This window comes from Homo sapiens, chromosome 4 (genome assembly GCF_000001405.40).
Source record: "Homo sapiens chromosome 4, GRCh38.p14 Primary Assembly".
NCBI lineage: Eukaryota > Metazoa > Chordata > Mammalia > Primates > Hominidae > Homo > Homo sapiens.
In genome coordinates this window covers 15,908,134-15,926,115 of record NC_000004.12, presented here as the reverse complement: position 1 = coordinate 15,926,115, position 17,982 = coordinate 15,908,134, and the positions used below count along the sequence as shown (strand labels likewise).

General features: G+C 44.3%; 1 annotated feature.

Annotated features, from left to right (window-relative positions):
- Window positions 16,364-16,524: a silencer, noted in NCBI's record as "fragment chr4:15911215-15911375 (GRCh37/hg19 assembly coordinates)". NCBI's record gives its function as "represses an EF-1alpha promoter that drives an FKBP-Casp9 reporter gene in an ReSE screen in K562 erythroleukemia cells {active_cell/tissue: K562}" and the evidence as "EXISTENCE:reporter gene assay evidence [ECO:0000049][PMID:32094911]".

The window sequence follows — 17,982 nt, the reverse complement described above, 5'->3', positions numbered from 1 at the left end:
TGGAGCAATCCAACAGCCAGAAGCTTCCCACGGGAAGCCCCATGGCTGGAATGACAAATGGTGGAGGCGGGGTTGCCAAAGCCCGGGGGCCAGGGCACCCAGCTGGAGCCAGGAAACTTTGGCAAGCCTGCAGCTGCAATGGAACCCTGGAGAGAGCAACCACTTCAGGGACACTGGAGTCACAGTGACTGCTGAAAATGCCACCAGAAACAGAGAGAAGCAATGTCTTGGCTTCTTCCCTTCCTCTGCTCCTACTGGCCACATCTCATCAGAAGCAATGAGCAGGGGAGCCTGGGAAATGAGTCTGCATCCACAGCCTCACCTCAACCCCATATAGACCAGTGGGGAGTGTGGGGCGATGGATCTGAGAGTCCGCAAGGCAGTGACGGGCACTCTGAGCATTGCTGCTTTAGTTTAGCTTGTTTAATGAATACGATCTTTTCTGGACGAAAATATTCTTTAAGTCATGAGGGAAGGCATGAGTGTAGACTACAGAGAGAGAAGCCACACTAGTGGGGAGAATGCAAATGAGGACAACCCATTTTCAGAAGAATCTGTCAATAGCTCTCTGAGTTTAAAATCACAATCCAGGCCGGGAGTGGTGGCTCATGCCTGTAATCTCAGCACTTTGGGAAGCTGAGGCGGGTGGATTGTTCTGAGCCCAGGAGTTTAAGACTATCCTGGGAAACATGGTGAAACCTCATCTCTACAAAAAGTACAAAAAATTAGCCAGGCATGGTGGCACACACCTGTAGTCCCATCTACTCAGGAGGGTGAGGCAAGAGGATTGCTTGAGCCCAGGAGTTAGAAGCTGCAGAGTAAGTTATGATTGTGCTGCCACTGCACTCCAGCCTGGGTGGCAGCACAAGACCCTGTCTCAAAAAATAAATAAATAATTTAAATTAATTATTAATTAAATTTTAAAAATAAAATCACAGTCATTTCCAGAGATTTATGCTACATATATTTGCACATCACAAAGATGTGTGTGTAAAGATGTTCATGATGACATTGTTTTTCTTCTGTTTTTTTTTTTTTAGCTTTTATTTTATTATTTACAGTACCAAAGACTGGAAGCAATGGATGTACTCACTCATAGGTACTGGCTAAAAAACATGAATGAGTTAGCTGGGATGATTTCTAAGCGAAATCTATGCTAAATAAATAAAGATTAAAAAGCTAGTGTGTTTCAGAGACTGAAAGCTCACAGTTGCCAAGTGTTTCTATATGTCCAGCACTGTGTTACGTACTCAGCGCACATGGTTTCATTTATGAACTACCATGATCCTATGAGGTAGGGATTTTTCCTTTTTAGAGGGGAAAACTGAGGCAGGACCAGAGTTTGAACACAGGCAACCTATCATTAAATTTTGTGCTCCTAAGTGCTAAGAGAAGGGAATGATTTAACAGGAATGTGTCAGATGCAATGAAAGTGGGCAGAGACCTACACCTAGCCTGGGACAGACAGAAGCCTTTTAAGAGATGACGCTTCAGAGGGTCATTAGACCATGTAAGGAGGAATGGGAAGGGTGCTGTAGGCAGAGGGCTAGCCTGGGCAAAGGCTTGGAGGTGAGGAAAAGCAAGGCTCCTGTGGAGAAACCAAGCAGAAGCAGTGCGGTGCTGCTGGGATGCAATGCCTGAGGATAGAATGGGGGAGCACAAAGATGAGAGTCTTAGCAGGTAGCAGGCACAACATACAGAGTGGCTGAGGAGTATTAATGGGGGGCCTGTTAGCAAGGATGCGGGCAGAGTTAAGGGAAACCAACAATGGGTTACGAGACACCTGGGCTAGCAACTGCAAGTCCAAGAGCCACCACCTCCCGTAGGCTAAAAGAGGCAAAGAGGGAGACCAGAACTCAAGAAAGAACGGTGGCTGTGGCTTTAACACTAGGGACCCCCTCCTGCTACCACCACCACACACCACTGGAGCTGGAGCTTCTGGTAGAGAAGCCTGCAGCTGGGTTGAAATGGAGGCAAGAGAGTAAATATCCCAGCTATTTTTCTCTCCTGCATTCTGACATCTTTCTCATGCCTCCCAATGGCCAAACCCATCCAGAAGGAAGAAGGCTCAGCTGAGGCAGTAGGTGGAGGTCAGCCTTCCAGGTCGGAGAAGGACGAGAAAGGTGGTGAGTGAGTCCAGAAAGGCAGGTGGAGGATACCCAGCACACGTGGTTAAGGAGTTGATATTTTATCCTATCCGTGTCCAGGCTCCATTGAGGGGTTTTAGGTATGGAGGCAACATGGTCAGATATGGATTTTAATAAAGACCTCTCTGGCAGCAATTCAGTAGACAGAGCTGTGGGCCATGAGGGATGAGCCTGGGAGACCAACTGAACCACGGAAATAAGGGCCAAGGTGGGAGATGGTAAGGCTGAAAAGGGCATAAGGTGGAAGGAGATAGAACTTACCCAGGTGAGAGATGAGAAGGAGCTGAAAAGGAAGTAACAGAAAGGACACAAATTAGATTCAACTTTGATTTTTTTGAAAAATTGAGAGGTCATAGTGAAGACAAAAGCCAGGCTTCATATTTGGATAATCAACTGAATTTTAGTGCCAATAACTGAGATTAAAAATAAAAATACAGGGCCGAGCGTGGTGGCTTATGCCTGTAATTCCAGCACTTTGGAAAGCCAAGGCAGGCAGATCTCTTCAGCTCACAAGTTTGAGACCAGCCTGGGCAACTTGGTGAAACCATGTCTCTACAAAAACAAACAAACAAACAAACAAACAAACAAACAAAATATATATACACACACACACACACACACACAGAAATTAGCCAGGGTTGGTGGCACATGCCAGTAGTCCCAGCTACTTGCAAAGCTGAGGTGGAAGGATGGCTTGAGCCCGGGAGGCAGAGGTTGCAGTCAGTCAAGATCATGTCACTGCACTCCAGAGCCTGGGCATCAGAGCCAGAGCTTGTCTCAAGATAAATAAATAAAAATAAAAATAAAATTTAAAAACTAAAATAAAAATACAAAAGTAGCAAAAAAACAGGTTTAAAGAATGGTGACTGATGAGTTTTGTTTGGGACAAGTTGGGTTTAAGTTGCTTATAGAACATCCAAGTGTAAATGTCTAGCAGGCATTCAATTTGAGTTCAAATATTGAGTGTTCTCTGTCTGGAGATTTGGATATTAAAGGCACCAGTAGGCCGGGCGCAGTGGCTCACTCCTGTAATCCCAGCACTTTAGGAGGCTGAGGCAGGCGGATCACCTGAGGTCAGGAGTTCCAGACTAGCCTGGCCAACATGATGAAACCCCGTCTCTACTAAAAATACAAACATTAGCTGGGCGAAGTGGCACATGCCTGTAATCCCAGCTACTCAGGAGGCTGAGGCAGTAGAATCGCTTGAACCTGGGAGGCAGAGGTTGCAGTAAGCCAAGATTGCACCATTGCACTCCAGCTTGGGTGACAAGAGTGAACCTCTGTCTCAAAAATAAATAAATAAAGCTACCAGTAGGTAAATTCTAGTTAAAACCCTGAGAGTAAATGAGATGTCCCAGGGAGAAGGAGCATCTAGAAAAGTGGGCGGGTTGTTTGGGGAGCACCAGCACTGAGAAGTGAAAGGAAGAAGAATCTACAAAGCTATAGACAAGGAATGAAAGATCTGAGAAGACAAGAAGAAAGAAGCTTCCTGGGAGCAGAGGCTGGAGTGATCAGTAGCATTAAATATGGTGGTAAATAAGAGACAAAGAGTATCTGCTTCTTAGGACTGTGAAAGGAAAATATCTTGGGCTCCCAAAAACACTAAGCTAAAAGGAAAATTCAAGCTGGAAACTGCTCCAGTCAAACCTGCCTCCCGTTCTATTCAAACTCATCCCTCTGCTCATTGAGATAGATGCATATTCTGATGGCCTCCTTTGGAAAGGCTTATCAGAAACCCAAAAGAAGGCAACCATTTGTCTGTCACCTACCTGTGACCTGGAAGCCCCCTCCCTGCTTTGAGTTGTCCCCGCCTTTCTGGACAGAACCAATGTACTTCTTACATATACTGATTGATGTCTCAAATCTCCCTAAAATGTATAAAACCAAGCTGTGCCCTGACCACCTTGGGTTCACGTCATCAGGACTTTCTGAGGCTGTGACATGGGTATGCATCCTCAAAGTTGCCAAAATGAACTTTCTAAATTAACTGAGACCTGTGTCAAATTTTGGGGGTTCACAGAACTTAGGAGGTTGTAGGTGACTTTAGAAAGAGCAGTTATGACTCTCTTGGTGGATGGATTGCTGTGGGGACTCTCTTGGTGGATGGATTACTGGGGGTTGAGGTGTGAAGTGAAGGTAAGGTAGGCATTGAGGATGTAGATTACTCTGTTTAGAAGTCTGGATGAGGAAGGAGAAAAGTAGGATGATACCTAGGAGGGACCGCCAGGCCAGTGGATGAGTTTTATGGTATTAGGGGAAGGTAGAGAGGGAGAAGCTGAGGATGCTGCAGAAGAGGGGAGATTGTTAATGAAGCCCAGACCTGGAGGGGCCAAGAGGGCACAGATCCAGGCTCTCTCTGTGCTCTTATTGCCTGATCACTTGTCCATCCTCTACATCCCTCTACTAGTCAGGGAGCTCCATATATGCTGTGCTGAGAGTGTTGCCTGGCACACAGCCATGGCATACTTGCTGAGTGAATGGATAAGTGATTCATACTTGCTGAGTGAATGGATAAGTGATTCATACTTGCTGAGTGAATGGATAAGTGATGGTTGAGTGGATGGTCAGGGATATAAACCCGGATAGAAGCAAAGTGTCTTTGGCAAAACTTCTGTAACTTGCACAAGATGGCCAAGGTCTAAAACATGACATCTCCAGCCAGATAATTGTCTGTAGTAAGGAAATCGTCAAGATTTACCTTACAGATACACACCCAATAAGCAAAACCTCCAAACACAGCAGGCTGAATGAAGACCTCTATGGTGAGGGTTGTTGGATTAGAATCAGTGATGCTGGAAACTGACAATCTTCATGTTTAAATCAATTGGGCACTTGAACAGGCCTGATTTTTATTAGCTCATTTAATTTGACTTAAAAGGTTGCTATAGTTGTGCTATCTTGCTTTTTATCTGGGGCAGGGGATGGAGTTAGATTCTGTCTTGGGACTTTTTCAAGTTTTCAGTTTACTTTTCTTCCCAGAGTGACTAAGGGTTTAGCCACTTGCAAAGAAAGTGGAGGAAGGGGTTTTTGCTTTACTTGATCAAGGTCTCTGAGGACTGGAGTCTCCATTACTCATCCCTCCTATCTGGCAACAGGAATATTTGGGTCCGCAGTAGGCTGGATCAACAGGGAAGTCAATGCATGGCAGCTGAGTGAGAAGCTGCTGGAAGCAAAACCGGGAACATAGTAACTTAGGGAAGGGAGTGAGGGTAAATGAGGAAAGCAAAGAATTAGTATTTCTTTTACCAACCAAGTTACCAGTAACTTGAAGGAGCAAAATGCACTCACACCTTGGGTCCCAGCCTCACATTTCCCATGCATTTGGGCAAACCTCCATGAACCTTATTTGTGAAATGGGAACATGTTACCAGCGTAAAGTATCCCATGGAAGGTACCGGGTGGTGAATCCGTATGGGTCTGCAACAACCTCAATTCTTGCCTCTTCAGGAGAAAGAATTTGACAGAGGGGCATAAGGCAGAAAAGGAGCCCAAGGCAAGTTTCAGAGCAGGAGTAAAAGTTTCTTTAAATGCTTTAGAACAGGAAAGAAAGGAAAGGAAAGTACACTTGGAAGAGACCCAAGTGGGCACCGAGGACAAGTGCGATGATCCTAGGACTTTATAGGCTGGCCCTTTTCCCATGATTCTTCCCTTGGGGTGGGCTGCCCGCACCCACCGCGCCTTCCTTACCCTCCGGAGGTGAGCATGCGCAATGTGTTTAGGAAGTGGTGCACATGCCCATCATCGCTTTTCCAGCAGAGTGCCCCGAAGGTCCGAAGGTCAGACTCTGCCATTTTGTCTCTTTTCTTTTCTTTCTTTCTTTTCTTTTTTTCTTTTTTTTGAGACGGAGTCTCGCTCTGTCACCCTGGTTGGAGGGCAGTGGCGCGATCTCTGCTCACTGCAACCTCCACCTTCTGGGTTCAAGCGATTCTTCTGCCTCAGTCTCCCCCGGCACCTGCATTCAATTAACACTTTGGTGCAAAAGGTGTGGATCATCAGGAAATGATCTCTGTCTCTGGTGTTGGCTGCGAGTTTATAAATTTTAGAGAGGGAATGTGATCATTACCAAACCATCACCCAACATTCCTAGTGGATGGTGGGAGAGCCCTCTCCTGCGCGGCTTGTGCCTGTCTAACTGCCTGTAACAAAGTCATTCAATTAAAATTTAGTTACCCTCTGTAATGTGCCACACACTGCCCCAGGCACTTGGAGAATATCAGTGAAGGATAATTCCCCTTCTTCAGGATGTTTTGAGGAATAAATGAGGTAGTGCATGTAGAATTACCTGGTGATGATCTGTAAAAGGTGCTGAATTGGAGGTAACTGCCATGATGATGGTGGTTCTCATACATATAAAACAATGATATGAGGGTGGTAGTGGACTGATGGTTGATGGTCTCACTTGTCATCTTGGCTGTGAGCTCTCTGAAGCAAGCTGGGGACCATTTTGGAGTCCTGGTAAGTAAGCAGTCACTAGGAAGGGGCCCCAGGTAGGGCAGGGCCCCACGTGGGGAAGAAAAATGAACAATTGTTATTTGAGAGATGGCTAATCACAAACAACCCACCGAAATTAGCTCCCTCCAGCCCCTGCCTCTTTACACACAGCCCCTTCTCTGCTGTTGCTGCCTGTTGCAACCTTGCAACATATTTTCATACTTTGTCTAATAAATCTGCCTTTCTTTACCTATAACTGTCTTGGTAAATTTTTTTACCACCTGCGAAGTCGGCCCCAACCATTTGTACCTATGATAGCCATGTCTGCCTTATATATCTCTCTGAATTCCCGGCACAGTGCATGGCGTAAAAAATATGTGATCATCAGTAAGAAATCATTCTCAACCAATTATTGCCAATTAAGTTATGTATCCCTTTAAAGTTCACATTCTTAAGCTATAAACACACAATGTCCTAGGGCCTTTCTGACAACTAGAGAAGTTCCAAGGTACTGGGTGCAATGTCTGGTCCATAGGGGTTACTGGAAAACCCAACCAGTTCCTGCTGGTCACTTCCTATTGTAGACTCAGCCCAGTTTCACTTACTCACCTAATGTTCACAAGAGGGAGTCTCCAGAGCTCCTCCAGTGGTCCCCACCGTGTACAGGAGAGGGATTAGGCACAGTGATGGGAAGGGGCAAGTGCCCAGAGCCACTCACCAAGAAGAGACAGAGCTGTGGCTGGGCCAAGCTGACGGACGGATGCAGGAGGCTGGTCAGTGCCCTCAAGGAATATCTAGTGTAATGTGGGAGATAAGCCACTCACAAGTGAAACACTTAAATCCACTGTGGCTGATTAAATGCCAAGTGCTGGCAGAGTCCCAAGTGCGGAAAGAAGAACAGGTATAAGGGAGGAGTCTGCATGGAAATGCTGAAATCTCAGCTGGGTTTTGAGTGAGATAAGAGGAGGAGACAGGGAGGGATTTATAACCAGAGAGAACAGCATGAGCAAGGGCTCAGAGGTGAGAGCAGGTGTGGCCAATCCAGGGGGCAAAAAGGAGAGCCAGACTGTGGGAAAGAACCAAGGTTACCTGACCAAGTCTCTGTTGCATGCCTGCCAGGGCTTTCTATCCTAGTTCATTTCATTTCACCCCTCCCAGAAACTTGTGAGACAGATTTTGTTGTTGTTGCCATTTTAAAGACAGGAAAACTAGGACTCCTTGGGATATGGCAAAGCTGGAATTTGATCCAGGTCTAACAGCAAAACTCTTGAGCTTTTCACTCTGCCTAGGTATATTCCTGCACGGTGCAAAAGGGGCTTCATCGGTGACGAGATCTCCCACTGGAACTTGGGAGATCCTGGTTCTACTTCTGAATAGGCGAGAACCTGGGCAAGTGATTTAGCCACTCTCACCCTCCTTCCCTCCTCTGTAATATGGGACATTAATAATTCCTATTATGCAATGGGAACAGCAGTTCCTGCTACAGTTGACCCTTGAATAATGCAGGGCTTAGCGGAACAAACAAACCCCAGTGCAGTCAAACTTTTGACTTTCCCAAAACTTAATAACCTACTGTTGACCAGAAGCTTTACCAATAACCTAAACAGTCAATTAACACGTTTTGTAGTCGTATGTATTATACACTGTATTCTGAAAATAAAGTTAGCAAGAGAAAAGAAAATGTTATAAGAAAATCATAAGGAAAAGAAAATACATTTACAGTACTGTACTGTATTTATTGATTCTGTAAGTTTACAAGATGAACAGTCAATCTAAAATGGCAGCAACTGCAACTGCAGACCTCAATTGATGGTCCATATCTAGCAATTCGACGTTTTCTTGTATGTCAGCTTGTGACTTTTCTTCTTGGGAGGCCTTCTACCATCACTAAATGGCACTGCCTTTGTATGGGATCCCCTGGTGTTATTCAAGATTTAGGGTATTGCACTTAACATGATGTAAAATACTTGAGAACCACACACTATCACTATTTACTGCAATAAGCAAAATGCTGGAGAAATGAGCTGTTCATGTGGAGTTGATTAGCGTCACAAGGCATTTAGAGTGGATACTCACAACAATTGAGCTCACTGTAATAGCAGCCAGCAGTGGCTACAAAATTATTACAGTAGTACATATAGTATGTGCTACAGTTAATTTTATGCAGTTATGATCTAATACTGCATCCTTACATTTATCTACATTTCTCTTGACTGTGAATGGCGCCATGTATGGTCTGTAAGTGTTTGTGTAAGTTTTGATAAATTTTAAATTTTTATTATAGGTTTGTGTATATTTTCTGGTAATAAATGATAAAATAGACTAGTATCTACATGTATTCTATACATTCACAACATACTTAACTTTTTCTAAATTTTCTATATTTTTGGGATACGTGGTTCATCTGCAAGTTTTTTCAAATTGTCACAAATCTACAAAAAATATATTTATTGAAAAAAATCCACATGTAAGTGGACCTGGATGGTTCAAACCTGTGTAGTTCAAGGGCCAGCTGTATATGCCTGTCTCAGATCAGTCCTGTTTCAGATCAGCCTTGTCTCAGATTAGCCCTGTCTCAGATCAGCCTGGGGGGAAGGGGGTGTTCCTCTGTGGGGTTCTCACACCAGGACCTGGGCAGATGGAATGCTGTGGTCACTTTACCTGTGGAAAAGAAGGAGCATGGCAAATCAACATGGCTTCTGAAGCTTCCACCCAGTGACATGCTCATTTTGACTTCTTTGGCCAATGCCAAGCCAGTGGCTACACTCAAGCTTAAGGGTGTTGACAAGTTCCAATTACTATGTGTTGGGAACAGGCCCCCAAAATTCTGGCCATAAACTGGCCCCAAAACTGGCCATAAACAAAATCTCTGCAGCACTGTGACATGCTCATGATGGCCATAACGCCCACGCTGGAAGGTTGTGGGTTTACCGGAATGAGGGCAAGGAACACCTGGCCCGCCCAGGGCGGAAAACCACTTGAAGCCATTCTTAAACCACAAACAATAGCATGAGCGATTTATGCCTTAAGGGCATGTTCCTTTTGCAGATAACTAGCCAGACCCACCCCTTTATTTCGGCCCATCCCTTCGTTTCCCATAAGGGATACTTTTAGTTAATCGAATATCTATAGAAACAATGCTAATGACTGGCTTGCTGTTAATAAATATGTGGGTAAATCTCTGTTTGGGGCTCTCAGCTCTGAAGGCTGTGAGACCCCTGATTTCCCACTTTACGCCTCTGTATTTCTGTGTATGTGTCTTTAATTCCTCTAGCGCCACTGGGTTAGAGTCTCCCCGACCAAGCTGGTCTCAGCAACTATGTATCTGGATGGGAGAAAACTGAAAATATTAATGATCACATGTATTATTCTGAATGTTTTGCAAGAGCTTTTTACATACCCGAGTTCTTTTTCATCTTTAGAACTCCCCGTGAAATTTCAAATCTCAGGATGAAGAAATTAGATGTGATTCTAATCAATGGGGGAGTTCTTTAAGGTTTCTGAGGAAGGAAAGATAGAAGTGCTGAAGTTCAATAAGTCAGTGAAAGCTATAATCAAAGAGATGTTGAAGATAAATGATAATGGTGAAAGAATGCAGAATGCATTTGCAATGGGAGAATCTGAAAACATGGGAGCTGTGGAAAAGATAATGCAATTGAGGCAGGAGAATAAGGAATTAGGGAAACCAAGGATTAAGGCATAAGCAAAAGAACAGCAGGTGCAGCCAGTTCTAGGCAAAATTGGGCAGCATACAGGCCCCATCCTTACTCCTGTGATAATGAGACAGAAGCTTCCACTTCAGCCTCTGATTGGTCACAGGCCAATCCTTCATAGGGTGTAGCCAACTGGAGGCCTCTAAAGGGCACTTAGGGGTGTTGCCAAATTTTTTTTAGCTTAATAAAAGCCCTAAAGAACATTGTAATCATGGCTCTTAAGCCTCTTACTAGAGCCTCCTCCCACTCCATGGAGTGTACTTTTGCTTCAATAAATCTGTGCTTTCCTTGCTACTTTCAGTGCTTCATTCTTTTGTTGGTTTGTTTGTGCGTTTTGTCCAATTCTTTGTTCAATGCACCAAGAACCTGGATGACTCACAGTGAAGACTTTCCATCTAGTAGCAGAATGATCCAGGTACAACCTCGACTTAGGATGCTAGTGATGGAAAGAAATGGCACATTCTGCAGAGACAATTTCATGCAATAAACACTAATTTTGAGAACCCACTTTCTGCCAAGCACTGTTTGGAGATAGATAAGAACAATCTTAATGCCAAGGCACCACTGGTTCTTGTGGATGAGACAGATGTGAACTCAATGTGTCTCACCTCCCTTGGGCAGCCTCTGTCCCCATTCTGTGCCCACCTCAGAGAAAGAACCAGCACTGAGCTGCATCCTCAACAACATCCCGTTAATGAGTGGTCTATATTTTCCTGAAGATGTGGAGAGACTGAGAATGCTATATGGCACACTGCACAGCAAAATGCGTTACCAGTTCCTGTCCCTTCACTGTGGATAGCTCAGAACAACTCAGAAATGACTCAACTAACCAACCCAAAACTTGCTTACCCCACCTTGACCATTTCTTCCTGCAGAAACCAAAGGCTGCTGCCACATTTTCCTCCTGCTCCCCCTGCCTCCTGGTGCTTCCCCATGTGGCCCTGAGCAGTGTAGCACACCCCTTCTCCTGGTGCTTGCCCACCCTGAGTGGTGTGGCATGCTCCCTCCTGCAGGGAACTATGAGTAACAAACTATTTTTTCAATGGCAGCCATCTCCTGGTCTGTTGGCCTCACCACACCTGAAGAATACAATAAAACCTACATTTTAAAACACCCACTTTGTGCAGAGGGCCCAAAACAGTGTATGCAATATCTGAATGCTGCTTAGTTTTGCCTTGGATGCGAAGGAGGGGTCTCTGACTTGTCTCGATCTTTTGATGTCCTGAAACTTCACTGTGATTAACAGAATTAAGGTAAGATCTGGGACAGAGAGGTGAGTCATTGACAATTTGACAGGTCCTAAAACAGAATTAACATTGGTACAGGTTTCCCATGTGCTGTGGTTTTGTGGTGAAGTTTGTCAGTATCCTAAGCCTGTGAACACTTTTTCCACAAAATCCCACAGCCTTCCTAAAGCAAGATATCTATTATACAAGATGAGGAGCATAAACACTTAACCTATGAAATTTGGGCCCTTTTAAGAATTTTATTTGAAAATTGATTACACGTCTCTACTTTCTTATGTGACGTTCATTCAAAAGGGACATGTATTGTCCATAGACTGGCAACCAAAAGAAGATTTACAGTCATTGTGAAGGCCCAACATACACAATCATCTTTCAGCAGAATGTATGAATTTTAGTGTCCAACTAACTATTTCAATGGTTTAAAAGACATTTGTCTTATTTCTTTCTAGCTTTTTGGAAAGTTGTAGCGATACTAATTTTTATTAGTATAATTAACAGTCAGATACCTTGACTGATTATTTACTATCCTCATTGACAGATGAGGCAAAGAAAGATTAGAGAAACTAAGCACCCCAAGATTTATGGCTAGAAAATAATGGAGCTGCGATTTGAAGCCAGATCTCTATGGTCTGATTTCTAAACCTCATGTCTATGCCAAACAGCTAACATTATCAGGTTAGTAACTTGTGGATGACTGGCGTGCTACTGAGTTTCACCTACAGCAAGACTCATTTGTAATGCTGTTGGAATGAAGTGGAATGCCACTAAAACTGATAGAATAGTACAGAGTCAAGCTCCAGCTGGTAGTTTCTATGACACACTTCCTGATGCAACAAAACACCGTATCATTGCTCATTTAGGGAGAGTTTACCCATAGGCTATTTCCCTGCAGGTTTCCCAATCTGAGAGTGTTTTATTCAGCTTTTTGTTGCTTTGTTTGTATTTACCCAAATGTCATGAATATCAGCTTTTCACCAGAATCGCCTGATTAAGAGCTTGTCCCTTATCTAGTACCAGCTGTGTTGCAGTTTTGAAGTCTAGTGACCTGGAGCCATGTGCATCTTTGCCTCAGAAATATCTTCCACAAAGTACTCTTGAGAAATTAATTTGAGACACAGTTCTACACTCCACCGTGGCAAATTTGGTGCAGTATTCACATAACTATAAGTCCTCCTTGCTTTCTAGTATAATGAGCCTTTGTTATCAAGCCAGGAGTGTGTGTCTTATTCTCAGCCTTTCTGCAAACAAGATGTCACCAAGGGCAAGTCATTTAATTTTTATGGACCTTAATTTCAGTCAGCTCACTTAGAAACCATTCACTGAGGTCCTACTAAACGCCAGGCCCCAGGTTAGGTCACGCATCATAGGTGTTAAGAATGCAGATTTTGAAGCGAGACAGACCTTAGTTCACATTCCAGCCAATGACCTCATGAATCCTGTGAACGTGGGCCAGCCGCATCCCTTCTCTAACCCTCTGTTGATGAAATCAGTGTTGCTGAATGGATTAGAGAAGGAATGGTACAAAGAAAATGCAGAAAGTTCCAATTTCCTTCTCCTGCTTCCTCTTACAAAGGCTCTGCTGAGGCCATTGCTATACTTAAATACGTTTGCTCAATGGCACAGAATTCAAAGAAGGGAATTCCTGATAGAGTGACCGATTGTCCCTGTTTGCCCAGGACTGGAGGTCAGAATGTCCAGAGCACAGGACTTTCAGCGCTAAAACTGGTTAAGTCCTGTGCAAGCCAGAATAAAGTGGTCACCCTAACTTCTGGGTTGCTGAAAATGCTCAAGCTGTAAAAATCCCACAAGGCACGGTCACAAAGGGGTTAGCTTGCTAAATCTCTTTCCCTGTGAGAGGAAACAGTTAACCTGCTTTTCAACTTATTTATCTCACAGATATCTCAGGATCCTTTGAAACTATAGGCTCCTTGACTTATTAGGGTGCGGAACTGCACAACTATAACTTTTATTCCTTGCCAAGTGTTGGTTTAATTTATTTGAAGTTGTCATAGTTTCCGATTCCTCCTTGTCCTTCCTGTGAAACCTAAACAACACCCAACAGTCTCTAGGGAAAGAAGCAAAGAGACACTCAATGTTTTGTTCACTCAATGTGTCATCTCTAACACATACAAAATTGTGTTCGCACCCCTGGTGGCTTGTGGCCAACGAGAGTTTGTGGTAAAAGCATCTTCACCGAGGACCAGAGCTCCTTGGGAACTTGAGCTTGGACAGAGCACATCCTTCCTCGGGAGAGGTCGAGTCATCCAGCCTCTGAAACTGCTCTTCTGCTCCTCTTCTTGGCTTGTGGATGGCCATCTTTTCCTGGGTCCTCCCATGTCATCCTACTGTGTTTATCAGTGTCCCAATCTCCCCTTCTTAGAAAGCCATCAGTCACATTGGATTAAGGCCCATCCTAATGCCTCATTTTAACAAATGAATTCTTGAAAGGCCACATCTCTGAATACAATTACATCCCGACGACTTCAGGATAGGAAATACTGGGAAGCACAATTCATGGTTCGACAATTCCAGCAGAGCAAAAGATACAACATGAAAATGGAAGCAGTTTTCCTCTTTCCCATGGCTCTCCACACAGGGAACCACTGCTAACAGTTTCTTAGAAATCTTCCCCTGCCCCCTCCCCACTTAATTTATATGCATAGAGTAGCATAGACACTCCCCTGTCCCCCACCATGAAAATCATGTTGGGAAATGGGATTGTAATTTTTACAGAGTTTTGTATCTTGCTTTGTCCACTTAACAATATATCTTGGTTATCTTTCCACATCGACATACAAATCTGTCTCACTCTGTATGAGCTGCAGAGCCTTCAAGCACAGAGAAGTACCTACTTCTTTTAATTTGGCCCCTGTGGATGAAAACTTGGATCACTTTCTATATTTTTACTATCACATACAAGGGTACAGTGAACATCATCGCATGTTTATCTGGGCAGACTTTTAAGAGTAAATCAATGGAATAAGCTCCTCTTGGGTGGACTGCTGGATCAAGAGATCATGCAGCCTTCATTTTGGAGGTTTGTGTCAAATCTCCCCCTTGTTTATGTTCCTACCAAGAGTGGATGAGGGAGCTCATTTCCTGAGACTAATATCTATGTTGTGTATAATAAATTTCTCCCCTAATCTGATGGGTGTTAATTCATCTAACATCATCATTGCATGCCCTTTGGGATAACTTTGTGCCTCCTGTCCCTCCAGGTGTTTGGGCAGTCACTTCCTTCTGAGTCCCCAACTGCTCTTCTGCCTTTTTTACAGCTGCCACAGTTCCCTGCATGCATTGATTTAGCTGTGAGCTCCTGAAGGGCATAGAAATGTCTGCTTTACCTCCATATACCTAATGCCTGGATCTTAGTAAGTGCTCCTTAAAGTTTAGTGAATTGCAGATTGACTGCTGGGGTCCCTTGTTAATCTTACAATCCTGTGAGTCTGTGTTGGAGATGGTGTTTTATTCACCTGTGTTTCCCTAAGCCTGAACACAGCACCTGACACAGATGAGATATTTAAGAAAAGGTTCCAGAATGGAGCATGTTCTCAGATGATGAACTGACTCTGCTTGTTTTGTCCCCTCTGCTGAGGGCAGGGGCACTGAAGTTGCAGAGAAGGCAGGTAAGATGTGAAAGCATGGTCCGATGGCAGAGGCACTTTTTGCTCTGCGGAAGCTGTACCCAGAGGGTCTTCAGACCAGGTACCCGAGGAGCAGAGGACCTTATGCTGAACGAGACATGCAAGCCAAGTCCCAAGGCATCTTGGGGTAGGTCTGAACCTGCCAGTCAGAGGTGGTGATAGAGTCCATATGGCCTGTCAACTGAAGAATGTGAAGGTTCATAAATCTGGAAAGGAGAGCTTTATTTCTCATAAACCACTGCCGCCTGCAGGGTGACCATTCTGATAGGCTAGGAAGCAGAGTCTGGCCAAAAGCCAACAACAAAAACCTTAGGGGAGAGGCAAGGGGAACAGGAATTTATGCTGAGCATGGTAGCTGAATATATATATTCTATAAGCTATAGGAGGAGTCATGAATATTTACAAAAGGAGAAATATACACGATTGAACTTCATGCCACTTCTGGAGTCCCATGCACAAAAAAATGGCAGTGTTAGCATGATCTGAGGGTGGAGTTTTGGGCCATCTGATGCCCAAAGGTGAAGCAGAGGACACACAAACCCTTAATAGGCATTCTCCCATTAGACTGGTTGGAACCACTCCCTGGTCAGTAGTCTCTTATTAGGCAAAAAAGGAGGAGCAGCATCAGGCAGTTAGTTGACAGTAGTGGTGAGGTCTTTTGAAAGGGCTGGTTTCTGTTTAGCCCTTAGGGAAGAAAGGCTCATGGTGGCTTATGAGGAAGGAGGTATAAGGTGGTGTGTTCAACCTCCTATACTGTCATACCTGAGAACTCAGTTTTCAAGGTTGGGGTCTCCTTGCCCAAGAGATGGTTCATTCAGTCAGTTGTGGGGGCTTAGAATTTAATTTTTATTTCTTAGGCTTCATTGTGACAGGCAGGTCTCCTTGACTGGGACCTCCGGGTGGGGAGGTGCTACCTCTCTGATGTCTCAGTGTCCATCAAAGTAGAGATGGCTCCCCTCACTTGGCAAGCCAGGACTTTGATTTTTTTTTTCATTGTAAAGCTTTAGAAACTCACTTTAGGAGGCTGAGTCAGGTAGAATGCTTGAGTGCAGAAGTTTGAGACCAGCCTTGGCAACATGGCAAAATCCTGTATATACAAAAATCACAAAAAATTAGCTGGGTGTGGTGGCCTATGCCTGTAGTTCCAGCTACTTGGGAGGCTAAGACGAGAGGATCACCTGAGGTCACGCTGAGGCTGCAGTGAGCGAAGATCATGCCACTGTGTTCCAGCCTAGGTGACCTAGTGACACCCTCTCTAAAAAAAAATTTTTTTTAAATTAAAAAATAAACTTCAGAAATTTCAGGATACCTAAGCAGACACCTAGCGTGCCTTTCTTGCCCATCAAATACATTGCCAAGTAATGTTCAACTCTTACCTGCACTGCTTCGAGCCTTCCACTGAGAGTGGTGTTCTTGGAAGTTTGGAAAAGTCCTGGGCCCCGAGCTATCAGGAAGTCATATTTTGTGTATGGTCCATGGCCAAGCTCTGTGGGATCAACCAGGTAACTATTTCATGTGGTGACAATCAGGAAGAAAGTGGATTGTCCTGTTATTTCTTTCCCCAGGCAGAACATGTCTGTCCACAATATAACACAATCATTATTCTCTTATTTCACTTAAGACATCGAGGGTCTCTGCCCAAATCTCATATTGAAATGTAATCCCCAGTGTTGGAGGTGGGGCCTGGTGGGAGGTGATTGGATGATGGGGCGGATTTCTTATGAATGACTTAGCACCACCGCCTTGGTATTGTCCTCGAGATAGTGAGTGAGTGCTTGTGAGATCTGGTTGTTTAAAAGTGTGTCACCTCCTCCCTCACTCTTTTGCTCCTGCTCTGGTCTTGTGACATGCCTGCTCACTCTTTATCTTCTGCCATAATTGTAAGTTTCCTGAGGTCTCCCCAGAAGCCACACAGATGCCAGCATCATGTTTCCTGTACAGCCTGAGGAACTGTGAGTCAATTAAACATCTTTTATTTATAAATTACCCAGTCTCAGGTATTTCTTTATAGCCATAGGAGAACAGACTAATACACTTCATAAGAAAGCAAGCCAGCACTCTCCAAACAGGTTTTGAGCAAGAGCTTCCGACGTGTCAATGTACACTTTCCTCTTCCTAGGTATAGGGTAATGGGTATCGTCTGGGGATACCCAGACCTTGATGTAGCCTTGTTTAAGGACAATAGACAGGGGTCTCAGCTCATTGATTAGAGAGGCTGTATACTTGAACTCCTCATTTCCGTTAGCCCCCCTGGACTTCTCTGTTGGCCTGCCCTGCACAGCCTGGGACACCCCAAATTCTAGTGGAGGAAAGAGAAGGCAGAAGCAGTGTGTTAGTTTCCTATGGCTGATGTAACAAATTAACTCAAACGTAATGGCTTAAAACAACAGAAATGTATTATCTTACAGTTCTGGAAGTCAGAAGGCCAACAAGTTCTCACGGGGCTAAAATCAAGGTGTTGGCAAGGTGCATTCCTTTCTGGAGGCTCCAGGGAACAATCCACTAATTCGCCTGATGCATCTTCTAGAGGGCATTCACATTCCTTGGCTTGTGGTTCCTTCTTGAATCCCCAAAGCCAGCATCATTGCATCTCTCTGACCACCCTTCCTTCCATAGTCATATTTCCCTCTGACCACAGGTGAGAAAGGGTCTCCTTTCTTTTAATGATAAACATGACTATTACTGGGCCCACCTGGATAACCCAGGATGCTCACTCCATTTTAAGATTCTTAATGTTGACATAACTACTAATTCCCTTTTGCTGTGTAAGGCAACATATTCACAGGTTCCAGAAATTCAG